The following is a 22349-nucleotide window of genomic DNA, read 5'->3' on the forward strand; positions in this document are numbered from 1 at the left end:
TCATACTAAACAAAACTACCCCGAACTCCTGTGGTTCTAAAGGGTTAAAAGCATGTAAGCAGTAAATGCATTATAGTGGCCAATGGTTAGCCTGATGCATGATTAAGCTATTTTGATTTAATGCTGTTTAATGCATCACATTTAATGTAAGAAAATTTAATACTGCTTTGGTTCTAAAGTTGGCCTAGTCTACATGTTTTAGATGTGTGGTATTATGAAAAGTAACATATTTGTTACTGATAACTTGCTACTTTAAAAGATCCTGCTAAATTAACTCCTTTGTCCATGATAATTATCCAGCCATTGTTAATTTGGAGGGGATTATATATATATATATATATATATATATATATATATATATATATATAAAGAATACTACTAAAGGATGTATTTTTATTGTGTCACCATTTACACTGTTCATGTTATAGTTAGTAACGAGTTTAAACTCATATTCTGTAGTTTTTTTTTTAGCTGTTTGATAGATTAATAACTAATTAATAGAACATTAAAAATAGAACACATGCTATTCTAAGATACTGTATTTCAGCAATCTGGAATAAATACAAAGCATTGTAAATTTAATTTTTGGTGAGGAGGTAGAAGACATCTAACAAGTTAAATATGCAGTCTTATTTCCACTGCTGTGTTGTGGGTGTGACTTTAACCTAGCATCTTTTGATATTTTTATGGGTTATCTTGAATTTTGTGGAATGTTTATCACATTAACTTTGTATTAATTTCATTTAAAGTTTGGTCCTTTATTTAATGTTGATGCCTTGTTTTAAGTTAAACTGTTGTAGATATAGTTAATTTAAGGTTTTGAAGTTTCGTTGATGAAGTATTGTATTTTACAGGCTCAGGCAGCTGTCCAAGGACCTGTTGGTACAGATTTCAAACCCTTAAATAGTACCCCTGCAACAACTACAGAACCCCCAAAGCCTACATTCCCTGCTTATACACAGTCTACAGCTTCAACAACTAGTACAACAAATAGTACTGCAGCTAAACCAGCGGCTTCAATAACAAGTAAGCCTGCTACACTTACAACAACTAGTGCAACCAGTAAGTTGATCCATCCAGATGAGGATATATCCCTGGTAAGTTGCTTTTAGTTTTCTACGAGCAGCATTTGATTTAAAGCCATTATAGCAGTTCGTCCCTTTAAAATAAGTGTTCATTTGTACTCAGATGGTCTGTGATCTGGTTTAATGCTCACTAAGTGGTTTTTGCCATTCTGATTCTTAAGAAATCATAAAATACTTAAAGTGGACAGATATTGCATGTTTTGGTCTTAGATGGTTTCTCTCCCCTTCCTCCAGACTGTTTCTAAAAGAAGACAGTAAGTCAGGTTCTTAACTCTCTTAAAAATCATTTTAGTTAAACATAAGTTTGCATATGTTAATTGAATAAACGTTAAGTGTGAAGTAGAATCTGCAGATCCCTTAAGTCCCATATAAATGAATGAATTTTGATACAAAGTTAATGTTTAGAATGTTGATAATGGCCAGGTGTGGTGGCTCACGCCTATAATTCCAGCACTTTGGGAGGCCAAGACAGGCAGATCACTTGATCAGGAGTTCAAGACCAGCCTGGCCAACATGGTGAAACCTCATCCATACAAAAATTAGCAGTGTGTAGTGGCGGGCACCTGTAATCCCAGCTACTCGGGAGGCTGAGGCGGGATCATCAGTTGAACTTGGGAGGCGGAGGTTGCGTTGAGCCAAGATTGCACCACTGCACTCCAGCCTGGGCAACAGAGCAAGACTCCATCTCAAAAAAAAAAAAAGAAAAAAATGGAATGTTGGCCGGGCGCGCAGTGGCTCACACCGGTAATCCCAGCACTTTGGGAGGCCGAGGCGGGTGGATCACCTGAGGGTCGGGAGTTCGAGACCAGCCTGACCATTGTGGAGAAACCCCATCTCTCCTAAAAATACAGAATTAGCCGGGCGTGGCGGTGCATGCCTGTAATCCCAGCTACTCCGGAGGCTGAGGCAGGAGAATTTCTTGAACCCGGGAGGCGGAGGTTGTGGTGAGCTGAGACCAGGCCATTGCACTCCAGCCTGGACAATGAGTGAAACCCCGTCTCAAAAAAAAAAAGAATGTTAATAACAATACTTCATTAGATAGTTTCTTGTTGAAGCAATTTGTAATTCCCGGAAAGTTGTTAGCCATGCTTCAAGTTTACAAATAGGTGAAGTTTTAAGGTATCTAGAGTTTAAGTAGTTGGATTGGTTTGTCTGGCAAAAGTAAATAGTTGGGATGTAAGGGTAAATTTTTGAAAATTACTCTTAACGTTGTAAGATTTTAGATGCATGCCTTTATGCTTGGTGAGCCTCTGCATTCGAGTATTTAGCCCTGCGCTTATTTTTATTCCCAGGAAGAGAGAAGGGCACAGTTACCTAAGTATCAACGTAATCTTCCTCGGCCAGGACAGGCCCCCATCGGTAATCCACCAGTTGGACCAATTGGAGGTATGATGCCACCACAGCCAGGCATCCCACAGCAACAAGGAATGAGACCCCCAATGCCACCTCATGGTATTCCTCTTTTTATGTTTTTCATATTTAGTGGATTTTCTAAGTTCACGCATAAAATATTAAATTTATCTGCAGCATACGTTGCACTTAAAAGTACAATGCGTTAACAATCTATTTTTTTGTGTTTGAAATTCTTGATTTTAGGTCAGTATGGTGGTCATCATCAAGGCATGCCAGGATACCTTCCTGGTGCTATGCCCCCGTATGGGCAGGGACCGCCAATGGTGCCCCCTTACCAGGGTGGGCCTCCTCGACCTCCGATGGGAATGAGACCTCCTGTAATGTCGCAAGGTGGCCGTTACTGATCTTACTTCATCCAGTCTAATAGGTTTGGAGATTAAACCTTTTCTCAACTTGTGCTGTTTATATAGCCAAGCTTCCGTCAATAAGGCTTCATTGTGACTTTAACAAACATTATCTTCCCACATACCAGGAACTATTGGACATTTATTTTACATGGGAAAAATTATTTGGAATAATAAAGCAGGAACTTTTCCTGAAGTTGCAATTTATACTGTATGGCTTCTTTTTCATGTTTCATCTAGGTTTTTAGAAGTGAAGTATAGTAAATTTGGTTCGTTAAATTGTGAAGGCGCTGGAATTACATGAACATACCACCCTAGTAAAGGCAAGTTCTGTAAGCTTACATTGCTATTTGTAAAGTTTGCCTTCACAGCATTTCAGATGCTGTTGGACTTCATGTCCCCAACCTAGCTTGGTGAGGGCTGTAACTGTTTCCAAGTACTTGTACATTGGAAGTCTGAATGTGTAACAATATTTAATGTATTTAGAGTTCCTCATGTTGCAGGGTTTAAGAAATCTGACCCACCAAGGTCATGTGACTTTTCTGTACTGTTAAACTTCATTGTAATAAAATGAGAGAAAAATTTATGCCTTTTTATTCATAACCCAGCTGTGGACCACTGCCTGAAAGGTTTGTACAGATGCATGCCACAGTAGATGTCCACATAATAAAATTCATAGTTACCAATGCAGTTTTGATATATCATTGGATTCTGTCTTTGAGTTGTAGGTTATTTCTTAGCTGCATGTTTTAAACTGAATTTGCATAGAGTTGTATGTTAATGTTTCAGTTAAGAGAAAAACTTAAGATACATGAGTCATTACATAATGGGTATGAAATCTTTATAATCACCCTTCCACCCTCTATGGTGTCAGTACACATCACGTGTCATAGATACTTAAAATGTAAATGTTAACACTTTTCCTTCCTGCTGAGATGTTTAGAGCCTAGTGCCAGACCCATTCATTTCCTTTTGATTATTTTTGAGACTCAGTACTGCATGGACCTCAGAAGCTTTTCAGGTGCAAACTTCTAGAAGCTTAGGTGCATGCAGTAATAGCTTCTTGTGCTGTTAATGGGTTATTATATATTATTCTAAGTGTAATGCTGAGAATCTAAATGTGTCTCTGTTGGGATGGTTAACAGATGAATTGGCAATTTTTATTATGTTCCTGGAAGATTACATTATTCATTTGAGTACCTTCTGTTATTAAGCCTAGGTAGCCTTACTGTGCAACTTTTTATTTATCCTTGGAAATTTTGAATGTTGTGTTCTTACAGAGAGCTTTTCTGTAGAGATGACTGCTATTCAATATTTTGTGTTGCAACCTCTTAAAATAATAGCTCTTGTTGACCTTTTTGGGATCTGTTTTTCTGATCTTTTGCAGGGTAGTTTTATGATTTTTTAGGCATCAAATAACCTATGCAAAGTATTAATATAATGAACTCAAGTTGAGTTTTTCTCATTATAAAGTTAAGACTTCTAAGAAAATGGTAACATTTCTTTATAACTTTCCTGTGAAGGTATAGATAAAACACATGAAGTCTGAAGTTGTATGGAAAAAAGGGCTTTAACTTTGAAGGAAAATATATTGAAAAGTGATTTAGCCATCACAAAAGAGTTCGTATTTATGTGACAGATGAAAGTCATACCTTTAAGCAAAACATTGCAAGTATTATAAAGCTGAATGCTATTTTAACTCACATTGGCTGGGTGCAGTGGCTCACGCCTGTAATCCCAGCCCTCTGGAAGGCTGAGATGGGAGGATTGCTTGAGTCCAGGAGTTTGAGACCAGCCTGGCCAACATGGCAAAACCCCATCTGTACAAAACATTTAAAAATTAGCCAGGCGCGTTAGTGTGTGTCTGTGGTCCCAGCTGCTCAAGAGGCTGAGGAAGGAGGTTCTTCCTCCTTCCGAGGCTGCGGTGAGCTATGTTCACTCCAGCCTGGGCAACAGAGCGAGACTCTGTCAAAAAATAAATTAAAATATCTGATTATCTGGCTTCAATGATTTTGGCTCCTGTGCTTGTGGTACCATAGTGGTACAAAAATTTTCATAGTTTGAAAATAAAACAGGTATTTTGCCAGTAATGTATTTCTTTCTGCCAGCAGCCAAGTCCCAAACCACTTTCCCCTCTGAACCTCTGCTTACCTAAATGGTTTCAAAATTAATACATGCTGCTTTGATTTGGCAGCACACTTAATATACTGCTGAAGGAAAACTTGTGTTGAAAGTCTTTAAGATAAAAATGGTGTGATAGGCCGGGCGCAGTGGCTCACGCCTGTAATCCCAGCACTTTGGGAGGCCCAGGCGGGTGGATCATGAGGTCAGGAGATGGAGACCATCCTGGCTAACACGGTGAAACCCCGTTTCTACTAAAAATACAAAAAATTAGCTGGGCGTAGTTGCGGATGCCTGTAGTCCCAACTACTCTGGAGACCGAGGCAGGAGAATGGCGTGAACCCGGGAGGCATAGCTTGCAGTGAGCGGAGATCACACCACTGCACTCTAGCCTGGACGACAGATTGAGACTCCGTCTCAAAAAAAAAAAATGCTGTGATTAAATTTAGAATAATTAAGTAAGGGGTGCTCTCCCAAATTCTCAGGAATTTCATGTATACGGTTATTGACAAACTGCAATAGGGTTAGTAGACCTGTTTCAGAAATTATGTGAAGCTTTATTTGCATTTTATGCAAAGAAGGTTGATACTTTGTAGCAAGGTTTTTTGCTCTCTGTATAGGTCTGATGGGCAAAAATGGAACTTTTAAATATGGGATAGAATTCTAATTAAAAATTAATTGAAAGTGTTAGGCATTGGCAGATAAAACTTAAGCTCATGAGTTCCTGAGTTTGTAGCTATAGGCTCAGAGGTGGTGTACCCATTTAATATATTTGAAGTGTAATTTTTGCATGCATCCAAACGTAATTAAGCTTCTAGAAAATACCTTTTTTCTAAATGCTTCTGGGGTCCATAGTGTGGTTGAATTATGAGTGGAGCAAATTATATTCATATAATTAACTCTGACTCAACCTTCCTTAAGTAGTAGATGAAGTTGAGTCAAAGTGGATGCCAACTGCCCTCACAGAAGACAACTTTTGGGACTTGATAATTCAGGCAGGCATTGTGATTGTCATAATTAAGGAAGCTGTAAGGTTAGTAGGGCTGGCAACTTTGGCTCTACCTTACATCCACCCCTTTTAGAAAAACAAGAAAACATTTTGTCTGGCACTAGTTTCTGTTGTATAAGTTTTCATACTGTTTAACAAGACCACAGCAGGTAAGGATTAATTTTTGAGTGGCTGCTGGAATTACTTGATTTGAATACTTAGTATTTTAGTAGTGTCTCACACATTTGCCATTAGGTATGAATAAAATATTCCTACTGTACTCCTATTCCACTAAGTTACATTTTGAACTTAGACTCACCTTAATTAAACTTAATTAATTGGGGAGGGGGATTCCCCAACAAAAAGAAGTACGGGCTCAGAGTGGAATTGTAGTGGACAATAGTTAAAAACAAAGCTGCTCCTTTTGCTTGCTTGATCATTGGGATTTTTAAAAAAAAAAATTTTAATGCATGTCTTTTAAATTAATTGGGAACTGTTTTTCTAAAATTAAAATTTTCTTCTTCCTATAGCCCTGCCATAGGACAGGCTGAGGCTGAGTCTCAGTGTTGCCCTGTTCAGTCTGAGGCAAGTGGGATTTATTTTATTCCTTATAGGGGCTTTCACAGCTTTATGGCTGTTGGATATTTATGTCCCCAAACTTGCAGCAAGTTTGGTGAAGGCCCCTAAATTTAATTAAACTTAGGATTTTTATACTCTTTTGGCAGAGAAGGCTCTATATTAATATTCACGTTTGACTGTGGTGTTAATAAACATAAGTATTTCATATGCAATTTTATGTAATTTGCTGTGTGTTACATAATTAACAGCTTCAGTAAAGCTTGTGTTCCTATATTGAACTTCAATAAATTGACAAAATTTGATATTTTTGATTGGAGGCAAGAAATGTTTCATTCAAGTTTTTTACTTTCACTTCTAGGAAAATCTTACTGGTTTTATTTTCTCCATAAACTATTAAATTTAACCTCAAGGATAAGTTTAATCATTGGAAATGCCACTGGATACTGAAATGTGCCTTCTCTTTTTTGAGACGGAGTTTCACTCTTATCACCCAGGATGGAGTGCAGTGGTGCGATCTCGGTTCACTGCAACCTCTGCCTCCCGGATTCAAGTGATTCTCCTGCCTCAGCCTCCCGAGTAGCTGGGATTATAGGCTCCCGCCACCACATCTGGCTATTTTTTCAATATTTTTCAGTAGGGATGGGGTTTTGCCGTGTTGGCCAGGCTGGTCTCAAACTCCTGACCTCAGGTGATCCACCCATCTCAGCCTCCCAGAGTGCTGGAGTAGCAGGTGTGAGCCACCGCGCCTGGCCAAAATCTGCATTCTTTTTTTTTTTTTTTTTTTTTTTTTGAGACTGTCTCGCTGTGTCACCCAGGCCAGAGTGCAGTAGCACGATCTCAGCTCACTACAACCTCCACCTCCTGGATTCAAGCGATTCTCCTGTCTCAGCCTCCCGAGTAGCTGGGACTACAGGTGCTTGCCACCACACCCGGCTAATTTTTTGTATTTTTAGTAGAGACGGGGTTTCACCGTGTTAGCCAGGATGGTCTCGATCTCCTGACTTTGCGATCCCCCTGCCTCGGCCTCCCAAAGTGCTGGGATTACAGGCGTGGGCCACCGCGCTTGGCCAAAATCTGCATTCTTAATCACAAACTTACGCATTGAATGTTAAGGCTAAAAGGTCATCTGGAAATGCTTAATTTTAAAATATTTTCAAGCCTCACCACATTAGAGCAAATGTTAATGTAGAGCCCTGTAAAGGTGGGAAGGTGGTGTCTATGTGTGTGCTTGTGTATGTGGGGGTATAGACCATATAGTTGATATAACAACAGAATTTGGGTGTTACAGACCTTTCAGCATGGATGGATTACTAATTTTCAGGTATCGAAACTGAAATTTGATACCTGATCCTGTGGTAAAGTATGTTAAACTATGGTTTTGGAGTGATTATTTTGAGGTTCATTTTCAGCCTCACTGAACAGTGTTTTACGCACATGTGAAAAGTATCCACATTTGTTTCCAACTAAAATTTGCTTTTATTTGGTGAGAAAAGTTGTGTGCGTGTGTTTGTTGTAGGGAATAATTAGGGAATTGGAAGAGAGGCCAAAAACAAACCTGAATTACTTTTGTTTCTTGTGTTTGAGCCACGATTCTATCCAGATAGCAGTTTACTCTGAGCAGTAACAATGAACAAGCAGTATAGCATTTAGCAAACCTGGAATTGTTTGTATATGGTTTTCATTCTTGGAAGCATAAAGAAAAAATATGCATTAAATGAATTGTAAATTTTGACTTGTTAAATAACATGTTTTTCACTATAACTAATAGGATTTTAATATTTAAAGAATTTTGTTGCTTCCATGACAAAATATCCCATTGGACTATTTTATAACCTCAGTAATCAACATTTAAGAGTCCTTAATTGGAGATCTGTTTTCTCTATTACCTACCATCCTGCAATATGCTGAAATCTTTCTAAGTTGCTTATCTTAATTCTAATGGTGATAATTGAAAAAAGTGTGCTGGAAATACAGGCTCTTATCTGGTTGAGTACTGGGGGTGGGAAGGATTTAGTAATGTCATAATCTGTTGAAGGTAATATCTATAGATAACTAAGATAGTTCCTTTTTTTTTGTAGTTCTGTGACTCAGACAAATAAGATTTTGAGAATTATGTAGTTTTTAGGTGTCTGTAACATCCACTAGTAAAACTTGGCAAATGAAAGAAAATTGTGAAGTCACCACTTTAACTGAGTCAAAATTTTGTTTGAATAAGCTGATGAAAATAGACATGTACCCTAGAAGTAGATACTCTAAAATTATACAGACATGAATGTCTTTTTTAAAAGGTTGTCATTATTGACCTAATATTGAGTAATCTTTCTGCGTTATTCCAAATTGAAATTTGTTTGCTCTTCATTGTAACTTTTATGTAAAAGTCCTTTAAAAGGGGATTCAATTATAAGGCTATTTGACTATAGGGCAGATTTTTATAAGTAAACATTCCCCCAATTCCACTTATGCTAACTGTCTCATGACAGTAAAGTTTACTCCTTTTTAGAAACCCTTTCTCAGTATTTTAATTTCTGTCATTGAATCATTTAAATAATAACCTTTTGTTTTTATAGCAAAGAAATCATCTGACTTTTCTGTGTGATGTTTCTTGGCAAAATAAGCACTTGATGTATGGTCATGTACATAATGGATATTCATTAATTTTGTGATTAGTGCTGAGTTTTCTAAACTACTATCTTAAGCTCTTAGGCACCCTATTATGGATCTAATTCAAACCAATATGTAGGAAATGGAGAAAGTAGGACTTCAGTTTGCGCTTCCCAATAACTTTAAATATATCCACCTTTTCCAAGTGTTTAAGCCCTAAAACATCTATCTTTATTTTTTTACCTGGCATTTTTGTTAGAAAATAGATTACGTTTTAAAGTAACATTAAAAAAATTCTTCAGTAAGATAATTGCTTTTAATAAGTATATTTTTCTTGCTCTTGGCTCTATACATTTTTGCATAATATTTTAGTCTTGAAAAGCTTTTCATTTTCTTAACTCTGGAAAATAATAGTTTGGAACTAAATTAGTTTGAGAAATCTGAATCATCTCTCTTTAAATCTGTTCAGTTAGTCTCATGTATTCTCAGGGGAAAATGTCTTTATTTTACTAAGCGGAAGTAGTAGTCATATTGAGGCAGAAATTTGTAGCCCAAACAAGGTAGGTCTTCGCTGAAACTAATTTGAACTATTCCTATTTGAAGCAAATTGAACACTATTATAAATCTAGACTGGCTAATTAGATGGAAACTTTGATGGTTAGGTTCTTTAAGAGGCATACAATCCGTTATGAGAATGTTTATGTTTATGTTTTAATTTTTATCAAAATAACCTCAGAGGAGGTACATGTGAGTAAACTGTCTTAATGGTTGATTACTTGGAACCCACCCATTAATTCTAAATGATGTAATGGTCTATAAGGTAGTAATCTGGCACAGCTTCAGTAATGTGTGCTGTGTTTGTAAAAAGGTGAAGTACTTTATTGGCATTTTCTAAGCCCTCTGACATTGTTAGTGTCTGGGTTGGTTGGTTTGCATTTTACTATTATGGTGGAATCTGTGTTCCTTCACCATTGGTTAAGTCTGAGGAACTAACAGTGAAATTCATTGATGGCCAACTTGGATAAAAATGAAGAATGATATTTTCCCAGTTTACTACACATGGACCAATAGTGATTATTTGGGAGAGAACACTGGGTAGTATTGTTTGACTTAAGAACCTTAAATATATTGAAAAGTAATGGCATTCTTGCTCATGATTTGCATTTGTTAGTGAGGTCTCACCATAGTATTTTAATGTAGCTTCTTATTAAAATTTTATTCATAAATAGTTTAGCAGTCACAGAGGTGAAAAAAAAAAGATTTGCACCATCATATCCGAGTCTTTACTAATAAAATGAGGCTGCTTAAGTACCCAAGTGGAGCAAGGGAAGAGTTACTACAGTTACTGTAAGTCTGAGTTAGAAAAAATACAGAGCATCTAGTTATTGAGCAAAGCCCCCTTTTACCTGTTCGCTTATTCAAAGAGAAACAATAGAATTTGCTTCTCAGTACATGTTTTTAAAATTGAGAATCTCTGATGTGACAAAATCAATTTTTACAAAAGTTGAATTAAAAACTTTTAAAAATTGCTTGTCTTTGGGGGTATGTCTACATATTCGTTTAAATTTAGAAATTCCCACATGTTTAAGATATATGCCCATCCCCTTTTTAGAGTAATCAAAATTTCTATCACAGTTCACATACTGGAATACATAGTAAAATTGAGATGTGTCCAAGAGATTTTCAATGTTAATTAGCTCATTCTAAATAGCCAATATAAGGTAACTTCTGTTTAAAAAAAAAAAAAACTAGGGAAAAGTTTTAAATGTATTAGTATCAGGCTCTGAGGAAATTTAATGCACATTGACTTTTTAAACTATGGATTGAACTCCTCAGTTTAATACAATTTGTGTTTTTGTTAACTAGCAGCAGAATTTCAGCATTTGCTACTTACTGGTAGAGAAGAAAAATCCCACAGCCCTGCCAGTACAGGTTAGTTTAATCTGTAAGTACCTGATGTTCCTATTTTTTTCAAACATATCCATATAACTCACACAAGGAAGAAAGCTGTGCGGTTACTTAAATGTTAGTATAACTAATAATAGATCCATTGGACACTTTAAACACTCAGTACTTGGGCCAAAGTAGATCTAGGTTTGCTAACCCCAGTTGTAATAAAGGTGTAATACTGCTCCTTTGTTATCTCCTTGTGGTTCAACCTAAGTAGATACATTGTACATAAAAGGAAAAGACAGTTTCAGTTGGCTATGCCCTTGTTGATAGATGATATGGAGTCCAGGGCTTTGGGTCCAGGGTCTTTTACTTAAGCTATTTCATGGTGGTTCTCTCATTCACCTTTTAACTTTTTACATTATGAATCAACCTAAGAAAAAAGGCAAGTTTCCTCACATCTAGAAATGATAAATGGTGTACAGTCATAAGCTAGAATATGTTTTTATAATGCTTTTTTGTTCTTTTAGCAACACTTGTAAATACAAGTACTCCTCTATTTTTGTTCTTTTTTTGTAAACTATAACGTATCCCGTTGGTGTACCAGTGAGTTCATTTTACTGTAAACTAAGAATAACATACCTTTTTAATACTGAAAGTTGACTACTCATCAAGAAATGTAGCTAGATTCTTTATGTAACACTTTTGAGGGGCAGTGGGGACATAATGGGTTGTGGAAAATGTGTTTTAACATTTTTATTTTTTTTTTATTCTACCCGAGTTCATTGTTGTTTGAACCATCCTCTAAAGATTTCCTTTAACCTCTAAATGTTGTGCTTTTAGGTTGATAACAAATGTAAAGCACTGAGGAGGGAGGAATAAAGCATACAAGTTAATTTCTAATTTTCGCAAGCCTGAACCATCCTAATCTGATAGTAGGATGTATGGCTTCTTCCTTTTCACCTTGTGTGATGTTTAATTTGAGACGATCTAGCCATAAAACTAGTAATCTTGAATTCCTCTTGAGCTGGATGGTGATTAGCCATTGTGAAAACAGATTATATGGAAATTGTGCATATTGCTAAATTTTAAAACATGGATTTATCAACTGATAATAAAATATATCTTACAAGATAACCACTTGTTTTTTAATGTAAAATTGCACAAGGGCTTAAGTTTCATTGCCTTTCACAGTTTAATCTGTATATGAAATGGTGTAGATACAGTGGAAATGGTTTTCCTTAAAACCATCTCTTTAAAGCTGCCTTTCTGGTGAGTACTGTTTTATACTTTTATATATTATAATTTTATCTTCTAAAATTAACTGAAATAGGACACTTTGATTAAAGAGGTGAGCACTCTGAATTTCTACATCTTTGGATATTACTTGAATCAAGAATATTAGAAAATTATTTTACCACCTGGCATTTCCCTTTTAATTTGCTAGTTCACTTTTTTCTGACCTTCACTTAACAGACTATAAATACAAAAACTTTGAACACATAAATTATTTCATTTTGGTGAGATGGAATAAATGTTTAAAATTAGTATTTAAGAAAGTTCTTAAACATTTTTTTTAGTTGGCAGCCAAAAGATTTTTCTTAGTGCTTTGGAGACATTGCATAGGTGTAAAATTAAGATACCAGAACTTCATTCTGTTCTTGTTGAAGCTGTTGTTGTGGTGATTCATGAGCAGTAAGCTGGAGTTAGAGTGGAAGAAGGGTTTACCAAAATTCTTCCTGCAGACTAGTTGCTTACAGGGTTTCTTTGAGAGGCTTAAAAATTTCAAAAGTATTATTTAAGCCACTCTAACCCTGCATGAAAAATTGGAGTTAGAAATACTGATTTCTGAGACCACGTATACCAGTGAAAATTAGCTTCTGAGTAAATTTCTAATTTATGCCCTGCTTTATTTAGCCTCGCTATATGTAACACATGGATTATTTTTTCCCTCTAGTTTTTAACTATATCCTAGATTAAAACCAGCATATGCTAAGAATGTTTTTACATTCTGTTTCCTCCTGTGATCTTTCTGAACCAATAATAAACAGTCAACTGTGATGCTTTTTAGTATGAACAATGATAGTTTTCTAAAATCTGAAAATCAATACCTGAGTATGTGATGTGGCAATGCATTCTTCTAGATAAGCACTAAACAAAGTATGGACCCTCAATTTATGTCTTTAAGATTTAAAGTGAAGTAAATTTCTAAGGAACTGTGTCCTTTCCTAGCAGGAATAAACAGTGAAAATTTGGTAAGTATTTAACTTGAAGTGCATGTAATAGTGATGAGAGTAAGTAGCCAAATTTCCGTAATATAAGGTAATGTTTAAAAGTGAGCAATAATTATTGCATCTCTTTTGCGACTTCATGTAGATGTGATTAACATTTTTTACAAATTTGCCTGCATAAAGATTAAATTGGAACATACCTTACTCCTTTGTCTGGTTTTTTTATTTTGTATGGTGCTTTAAATACTAATTTTATATTTCAAGCTTTTTGCAGGGTAGAAATAAGTGGCTGTTAAAGAAAATATCTTCAAGAAGGATTATTTCAGTGTCCCTTTTTAAAACTCGATGATGGCTTTCAGTTTATTTAAGTCTTCTGTTTTTCAGCTCCAGTTAAAACTGACAATAGGCAGCTATCAAAAATGGAAAAAATCTTGTGCTCTTTCTGGAATATTAGAGGAATCAGTTAATAATAGTAAAGTGGTATTAACCCAATACTTGATTTGCAGTTTTTAAAGCAGTTTTTAAATTGAGAGAAAAGGGGCTGGGCCCAGCTGAGGCGGGTGGATCTCCTGAGGTCAGGAGTTTGAGACCAGCCTGGCCAACATAGTGAAACCCCGTCTCTACTAAAAATACAAAAATCAGCCGGGTGTGGTGGGACGTGCCTGTAACCCCAGCTACTCTGGAGGCTGAGGCAGGAAAATCGCTTGAACCCAGGGGGAGGAGGTTGCAGTGAGCCGAGATGGCGCCGTTGCACTCCAGCTTGGGTGACAGAGCGAGACTCCGTCTCAAAAAAAAAAAGAAAAAAAGAAAAAGTGATAAGATTTGGGAGTCTATTCCCTGGGATGTTCTATTAATAATAAAGTGATAATAAATGAAGGTTAAAGTCAAGTGTTCAATTACTACACCAGGAAAGATTGATTATTTCTGAGGAAAAGGTCCATTTATTTCCAAACTAGTCTGTAGTGGTTTAGAGTAAGCATTATTTTATGAAGTGGTACAAGATTGCAAAGGTTAGTAAAGGGACCTGTCTGTCAGGTCAATCTTCGGTCTTCACTTTTACTGGCAAGGGATTATGTGAAGAGTAAGTCATACAAGGGATATGATTGTAAGGAGGTCCTGAACAAAGCATGATAAATGTTAGTCCATGTGTATTATTAAATGGTCTAAAGAAAAATCATGACTGATCGCATAATTTTTAATGTAAGTAAATGAGCTCACTAAGGGTAATTAAATACTAGCTTTTAAAATTTAAAGTTCTCACGAATATTAGTGCATCTTGTCACTTTGATTTGTCACCTGGTTAAATAGCTGGAAGCTTGTGCAAATGAAAAATGAAATGGAAGACTACATTTGTATATATATCTGTATAATTTTTGTTTACTAGTAGGTTCAGAGAGAGATCTGAGATGTTCCTTAACATGTAGCCATGTAATTAGAACTCACAAGGGGCATTGAAATGTTTTTCTTTTTCAGATAGTCTGGGGCTATTTACTTATTTTAAGTAAGCCAAGTCTACCATTTGAAAAATGGTGCTTTATTTCCATATCTGAAGCCTGAAGTTATTTTTTAGTTTGTTTTCATCTAAAAGTGGAAAGATTTTTGCTTCTGCGTTATTAAGAGCCTCTTTGTTTGGAGGAGATGGTTATCTCCTTCACTCATTAACCTTTGAGTGCTTGTTATCTACAAAGATGAATAAAATCTTTCATTTATTATTTATGATACTTGTCTGAGCCCATTTTTTAAATTTGTATCCAGAACAGTTATATATTAATAAGGTATTATGATATGCATCAGTTGTCCTGAGCAGTTTTTGTTGTATCCTGGGAACTGTAAGGAATAATTATTAAATACAGAATGTCTACGGGGAAAAGGGGTAAAAGAGCACGCTTAGTGTGCATATTTTGTATGTGATAGTTGGGTAGGTAGATGAGCCAGAAGAAACAGTGATTTAGAGTGAGCATAAAACTAGATCTTGCAACCAAATCCTTGCTTTTCTATTATTTATTAGTTATATGACCTGGAACAAATTACTTTTCAAATGGTAGTTATAAGTTTCATAGGTTTGTGAGAAACAAGTAAATATGTGTAGAAGAATTTGGCCTGGCAACTTTGTAAGTGCTCAGTATTTTCTGTATGTTTACTTGAAAGAACTAACACACTATACATTTGTGCTAACCTTGTTAGACCACAGGCAATGGTGGGAGCAGACAGTTATTGCAAATCAAAAAATTTCATTTAGCACATATATATGAATGCCCACAGTGTGCTTTGATATTATCCTTTGTACATAGTAGAGAGGAAGTGCATCTGAGTAGAGACTTTGGAACTGAGGATTTAAGAAGCCAGCCTTTGCACAAAGTCTCATTGAGTAACAGTGTTTTGGGTAGTAGGTGTGCAGAAACCATGAGATGGGAAACATAACATCTTGAACAAAAAATGAGGTTTGAATGGTGGGTGGGATGGGTGCGTGTGCATGTAAGGTGAGTGGAGATGGGAGAGAGAGAGAGGCCAAGTCTCACAATGGACCATGGTTTGAATGTCATTCTAATGGAAATCTTTTGAAGAACTTGGAGCTGGTGAGTAATACATGGTTTATGATTAACAGATTATCCTAAGTTGGTTGGCAGTGGGGCAGGGTGGGTTGGTGGGCAGTATGAGGATCAGTTAGAAGGCAAGAAGAACCTGGCCCCAAACATCTCAAGAGTAACTGATGTAATGACTTACTGAATAGTCATGGGAGAAGTTAGAAGATGCTAACCTTGAATGTGTGAAACACAGGAAAAGGCAAAAAGCAAAATATTGATGCTGGGTACAGTGACTTATGCCTGTAAACTCAGCAACTGAGGCTGAGTTGGGAGGATTGCGTCAGGCCATGAGTTCAAGGCTGCAGTGAACCATGATGGTGCCACTGCACTCGCTGGTGCCCGGGCAACAGTGAGACCCCCAACTCAAAAAGGAAACATTGGAAATACAGTGGGTTGGTTTGGGGGATTTTTTGTTTTTTTTTGTTTTTGTTATTTATTTGTTTGGACGCTGTTTAGGCTCCACCTAATCTGTAAGACTTATTTAGGAAATGTTTGTTGGAGATCGAGTAAGACATTGAGAGGCAAAAAATAAGTTTCTTCAAGAGTCTAAGAAGGATACATCAGTAACAAAGTGAAAATGCCCTCAAAGGACGTAAAATTTGGAGAAAGCAAATTCCATCTATGTGATCTCAGGATGGTGGCATTTGAAGTAGGTCTTGGATTGTTAGGATTTGGGCAAATTGGAAAAAAACGTGTTAGAAAAGAGATGGGAAAACCCAACAGTATGAGGCTTATGAAGGAAAGTTCTAAAGAATGAGGTCATTGGAGTCTAAAGTGTAAAGTTCCTTGAATACCACATTAGGCATATACATTTTCTCTAGGAGTTGGGGTGTCTTGGGATTCTTGGCATAAAAACAACATTAACTGCCTGGGTGTGGTGGCTCACACCTGTAATCCCAGCACTTTAAGAGGCTTAGGTGGGCAGATTACAAGGTCAGGAGTTCAGAACCAGCCTGGCCAACGTGGTGAAACCCTGTCTCTACTAAAAATACAAAAGTTAGCCGGGCGTGGTGGCAGGTGCCTGTAATCCCAGCTACTCGGGAGGCTGAGGCAGGAGAATCGCTTGAACCCGGAAGGCAGAGGTTGCAGTGACCCAAGGTCGTGCCACTGCACTCCAGCCTGGACAAGGAGTGGGACTCCGTCTCAAAAAACAACAACAAAAAAACATCGACTAGAGCAGTGGCTGTGGTTTTGGACCCAGTGTGTCTTCAGAAGCACCCAGGGTATCATTATAGGCTGCCACTATTTCCTGGTACCACAGGATATTTCCATATCACTACCATCTGGGTGACAGGGAATAATAAAATTTAGAAACTGTAACTGGGCCGGACAGCTATTGACTTGGTGAGTTGAAACTAGAACTATCTTATGTTCAGTAAGGCCAGTTTAAAGTGTTTTGGAAGCCTTATATATCTGAGGCCATTGTACTTCTTGGTCACTTTACAAACTAAGTTTCTTAATTTTTTACTATTCCCCACAATTATAGGACATTGTTCTGCTCAGAAACCTTTGTTATCACCACATAACTTGTATTTTGTAGTAACAGAACACCCCTCTTTCTGAATTCTTCATGGAACTTTCCTGAAAGCTGGTTCTGAGTCTCTACCAATGTATATTCATACATTGTGCATGTATTATAACCATGTACAATGGAAGTGAGCAATGTGTAACCATATGTCTCAGTATTTGCTAGGATCATGATGCTATGAAGCAATTGATAGTCACCCTTTTCACTTATTCCCCTTGCTATTCCACATCACTGCTTTTCCTCATCCGTCGATGCCATAAACAGTTTGTCTGATGGCTTTCTGATTCATGAAGATGGTAAAAGCCAAGGCCCTCAACCTACCATATCTATAAAATCTGTATTTGCATCCTTTTTTATTACATTGTACTAGGCATCCATTAACAGCTCTCCTCTTTTGCTATGCTCTGGAATCCAACTTTTGCCATTGTAGTGGTCTCCTTGTTCGTTCTTGTGTTTCTTCAGCTTCCTATCCTGTTTTTGTTTTTGTTTCTGTTTTTTTTTTTTTTTTTTTTTTTTTGGGGGAGGCCCAGGCTGGAGTGCAGTGGCGCAATTTCGGCTCACTGCCACCTCCGCCTCCCGAGTCCAAACGGTTCTCCTGCCTCAGGCTCTCGAGTAGCTGGGACTACAGGTGTGTGCCATCACACCTGGCTAATTTTTTGTATGTTTAGTAGAGACAGGGTTTCACCGTGTTAGCCAGGAGGGTCTCGATCTCCTGACCCTGAGATCCACCCGCCTCGGCCTACCAAAGTGCTGGGATTACAGGCGTGAGCCACCGCATCCGGCCCGTTTCTCATTCTGTTAATGACTCCTTTTTCCTAGGATAAAATTTGGATAAAATAGGAGTCAAGACTGAGGCTCAGGTTTTACCTCTGAAAACTCTTGGCTCAAAGACCCTTAATAATCTGACTCCTGCTTATCTTTCCAAAATAATTTCTTGCCGTTCTCCCTTGGTACTTGGCTTAAACTCTCAACACCCTCTCTGCCCCTTAGTACTTTGACTTGTGTAACTTCCACTTCCTCACATCTGCCAAATACTAGTTTAGAGTTAATTCCCTCTTACAAATCCCTGATCCTCTGTGATGACCTTCGTATGTGCTTTCATTGCATTATGTACTTACCATCAATTTGTGTGTTTATACTGGACTGCAACCTCGGACGCAGGACTGTGTCTTGTTCATTTCATTCCTAAAACTTAGCACGTTGCACGACACTTAAAAAGAGGCGCTTAGTAATTGCTGGGTTAAATTGAGTTGCTAGTAATGGATTTATTATTATTATTATTATTATTATTATTATTATTATTATTATTATTATTATTATTATTTTGAAATGGAGTCTTGCTGTCACCCAGGCTGGAGTGCAGTGGCGCAATCTCGGCTCACCACAACCTCCACCTCCCAGGTTAAAGCGATTCTCCTGCCTCAGTCTCTTCAGTAGCTGGGATTACAGGTGCACACCACCACATCTGGCTAATTTTTATATTGTTTGTTTGTTTTTGAGATGGAGTCTCACCCTGTTGCCCAGGCTAGAGTGCAGTGGCGCAGTCTCGGCTCACTGCAACCTCCACGTCCTGGGTTCAAGCGATTCTCCTGCCCCAGCCTCCCGAGTAGCTGGGATTATAGGTAAACCCCACCATGCTGGGCTAATTTTTGTAATTTTTTAGTAGAGACGGGGTTTCACCATGTTGGTCAGGCTGGTCTCGAACTCCTGACCTCATGATCTGCCCACCTCGGCCTCCCAAAGTGCTGGGATTATAGGCATGAGCCACCATGCCTGGCAGGGTTAATTTATTTCATCAAAACAGACTAAAGGTTTAGAGAGATGTGCCTTTATTTGAATATTGTGCAGTTTAAACCTGACTCAGTCATGCTGTCCTTTTGAGCAGGATCTTTAGAACAGATACTTGTGATTGGCTAAAGAATAACCTCTGACAATAGCAAAGGTCTCTTGGACAGAGCTGTTAAAACAAAACAATGAAATCTGTATTTGTTTAAGATTAGAAGGATTTTTGAAAAGTAACTTTTCCTGCGGCATGTCTGCTAGAATAAAAGGTTCTCGTTTTATTAATGGCGAAAGAATAGCTTTAGTTTGGAATAGAGGTAGGCTAGACCAGTGATTGCAAACTGAAACACCTACGAGAACCAGATAGGTTATAGAAATGAGTGAAACAAGCCAATTGGGGAGTGGGGAACTCGTGACCCTTACAAATGAGGCTCATGCTGGGTGCATTGCCTGGCCACAGTGGCCAGCTTTCAGTTTTTTTCTAGAGAAGTTAGATCTCATAGTTATTTAAAGAGAATTTAAACACTGTGCTAATCACACCTGCAGGACAGTTTTTCTTGTAGATCACCAGTGTGGGATTTTTTTTGATGAAAGCTGATGTTTGCAGAAATTTATATCAACAGGAGGAAAGCAAGATAATCCCAGAGAGGAAGGTTTGATGATGGACAAGAGGTAGATGATGGAGTATGATGTTGGGGAACAAGCCACTGAATAGACTGGTGCAGTTGAACCAGTAATTGGCTATTGTGATCGAGCTGCAGGTTGTCGGTGTATATAATTATATAAATTAGTGTTTGGCATCAATATTTCAGTTCCTAGATGGGCTTTTGGGAAATGCAGTATCCCAAGGGACTGAGATCACAAAAGTAAAATTTCAGAACAATCAATGAACATTTTTGGATGGGGAGGGACCTATCTTGAATATAGTCATAATAGGTGACTAAGTTTATTACTGTGGGGTTTGAAAGAGGTTATTTTACCTATGATTCATAGTGCTTGGCACCTAGTAGGCAGTAAGTGTTTGTTACATTGAGTAAGTATATCTCTGTGATGCCATCCTCAAATCAAAGAAAGCTATGTCTGATAGCTGTCAGGGTGTTGGCAAAGCATACTTTAGTCCTCAGTTTCTCAGTAAATAGTGGTGAGACAAAAAGGTAAAATATTTAACTCCAGTAGTTCATAATTACCAAGAGTATATAATCTTTTACCTGCTTTCTGGAAATTTGTACAAAGTCCATACTGTTCCTTTTCTTAAAAGTACGTTTTCTTTATGTTTAAAGTGTTGCATGTTACTTTTAAAAATCTAAGGCCAGGCGTGGTGGCTCATTCCTGTAATCCCAGCACTTTGGGAGGCCGAGGCAGGTGGATGACTTGAGGTCAGGAGTCCAAGACCAGCCTGACCAACATGGTGAAACCCCATCTTTACTAAAAAAATACAAAAATTAGCCGGGCATGGTGGTGCGTACCTGGTCCCAGCTAGTGCAGAGGCTGAAGTGGGAGAATCTCTTTGAGCCCAGATCGCTCCACTGCACTCTAGCCTGGGTGACAGAGTGAGACTCTTGTCTCAAAATAAATATAAATAAAAATCTAATGTGGATTAAACGAAAGAAATTGTTTTCTGCTCTACTCCCGGCTACAGTCCCCAGGAAGAACTAGATTTGTCCCTTGTTATCTGAAGACTGGTTCCAGGACTTCCCTTTGATACTAAAATCTGCAGATTCTCAAGTCCCTGATATGAAAATGACATAGTATGTGGATATTACCTATGCACATCCTCCCATATACTTTAAATCATCTCTAAATTACCTACAATTTTTTTTTTTTTTTTTTTAATGAGACAGGGTCTCACACCCATCATCCAGGCCCAGGCCGGAGTGCAGTGGCCTATTCACAGCTCACTGTGGCCTTGACTTCCCAGCTCAGATGATCCACGTCAGCCGCCTGAGGAGCTGAAATTACAGGCACACACCACCATGCCTGGCTAATTTTTTGTATTTTTAGTAAAAATGAGATTTCGCCATGGTGCCAAGGCTGGTCTCGAACTCCTGGGCTTAAGTGATCTGCCAGCCTCAGCCTCCCAAAGTTCTGGGATTATAGGTGTCAGCCACCGCATCCAGCCCTGTAATACTTTTTTTTTTTTTTTTTTCCCAGACAGTGTCTTGCTCTGTCTCCAGGCTGGAGTGCAGTCACGCGATCTCGGCTCACTGCAACCTACATCTCCCAGGTTCAAGCGGTTCTCCTGCCTTAGTCTCCCACGTAGCTGGGAACACAGGCACGTGCCACCACGCTTGGCTAATTTTTGTATTTTTAGTTGAGATGGGGTTTCACCATGTTGGCCAGGATGGTCTTGATCTCTTGACTTCGTGATCCGCCTGCCGCGGCCTCTCAAAGTGCTGGGATTACACGCATGAACCACTGCACCCGGCCTAATACAATGTAATTTATAAGATAGACTGATACCAACAGCTAATAAATAATAGAACAGTTATAACAACATACTGTAATAAAAGTTATGTGAATGTGGTCTCTCTTTCTCTCTGAAAATATGATACTGTACTCATCTGTTTTCAGACTGCAGCTGACCATGGGTAACTGAAACCATGGAAAGCCAAATCTCAGATAAGGGAGAACTACTGTACAGACACTTTTTTATTGACCTCATCTAGGCAGCCTCAGTTTTGTTTTGTTTGCTTTTTGAGATGGAGTCTCCCTCTGTCCCCCAGGATGGAGTGCAGTGGCATGATCTTGGCTCACTGTAACCTCCACCTCCCGGGTTCAAACGATTCTCCTGCCTCGGCCTCCTGAGCATCTGGGATTACAGGAAGTTTATTTCTATCTTTATCCAGATTGCTGGTTTTGCAATGCCTCTTTGCACAAGACTTTCTCTGGCTCACTTTGTTATGTTCCCTCTAGAATGAGGCTCTGGTAAGAAACATCCCTGTTTGCTACCCTAGTAGTGGAAAAACCCTAGTCCTGGAAACCCAAGACACCTGAATTGGTTCTTCCCAGCTCCCCCTCAAGAGAGGGAGACACTTTTAGCTTGTATTTTGGTTTACGGGTTAAAAGTTTTATATTAGGATCAGAATGATTGCATCTGGTTTGAAGACTGAAATTTCTTTGGACAGGGTCTTGCTCTGTCACCCAGGCTGGAGTGCAGTGGTGTGATCACAGCTCACCGCAGCCTTGACCTCCTGGACTCAAG

The 22349-nt window shown here is 38.1% G+C and overlaps 1 protein-coding gene across 3 annotated transcripts in view; it reads left to right on the forward strand.

Moving 5' to 3' along the window:
* Window positions 1-14968, forward strand: part of ZNF207 (zinc finger protein 207) — a 31729-nt gene extending 16761 nt beyond the window's left edge. For all 3 annotated transcript variants that reach the window (NM_001098507.2, NM_001032293.3, NM_003457.4), the window contains 3 exons: window positions 855-1097; window positions 2378-2537; window positions 2682-14968. In NM_001098507.2, the coding sequence (NP_001091977.1) occupies window positions 855-1097; window positions 2378-2537; window positions 2682-2842 (564 nt within the window). In that variant the 3' untranslated portion in view covers window positions 2843-14968. The remainder of the gene's footprint in view (window positions 1-854; window positions 1098-2377; window positions 2538-2681) is intronic.
* Window positions 14969-22349: the final 7381 nt, after the last annotated feature.

The sequence above is a fragment of the Homo sapiens genome, chromosome 17, assembly GCF_000001405.40.
Source record: "Homo sapiens chromosome 17, GRCh38.p14 Primary Assembly".
NCBI lineage: Eukaryota > Metazoa > Chordata > Mammalia > Primates > Hominidae > Homo > Homo sapiens.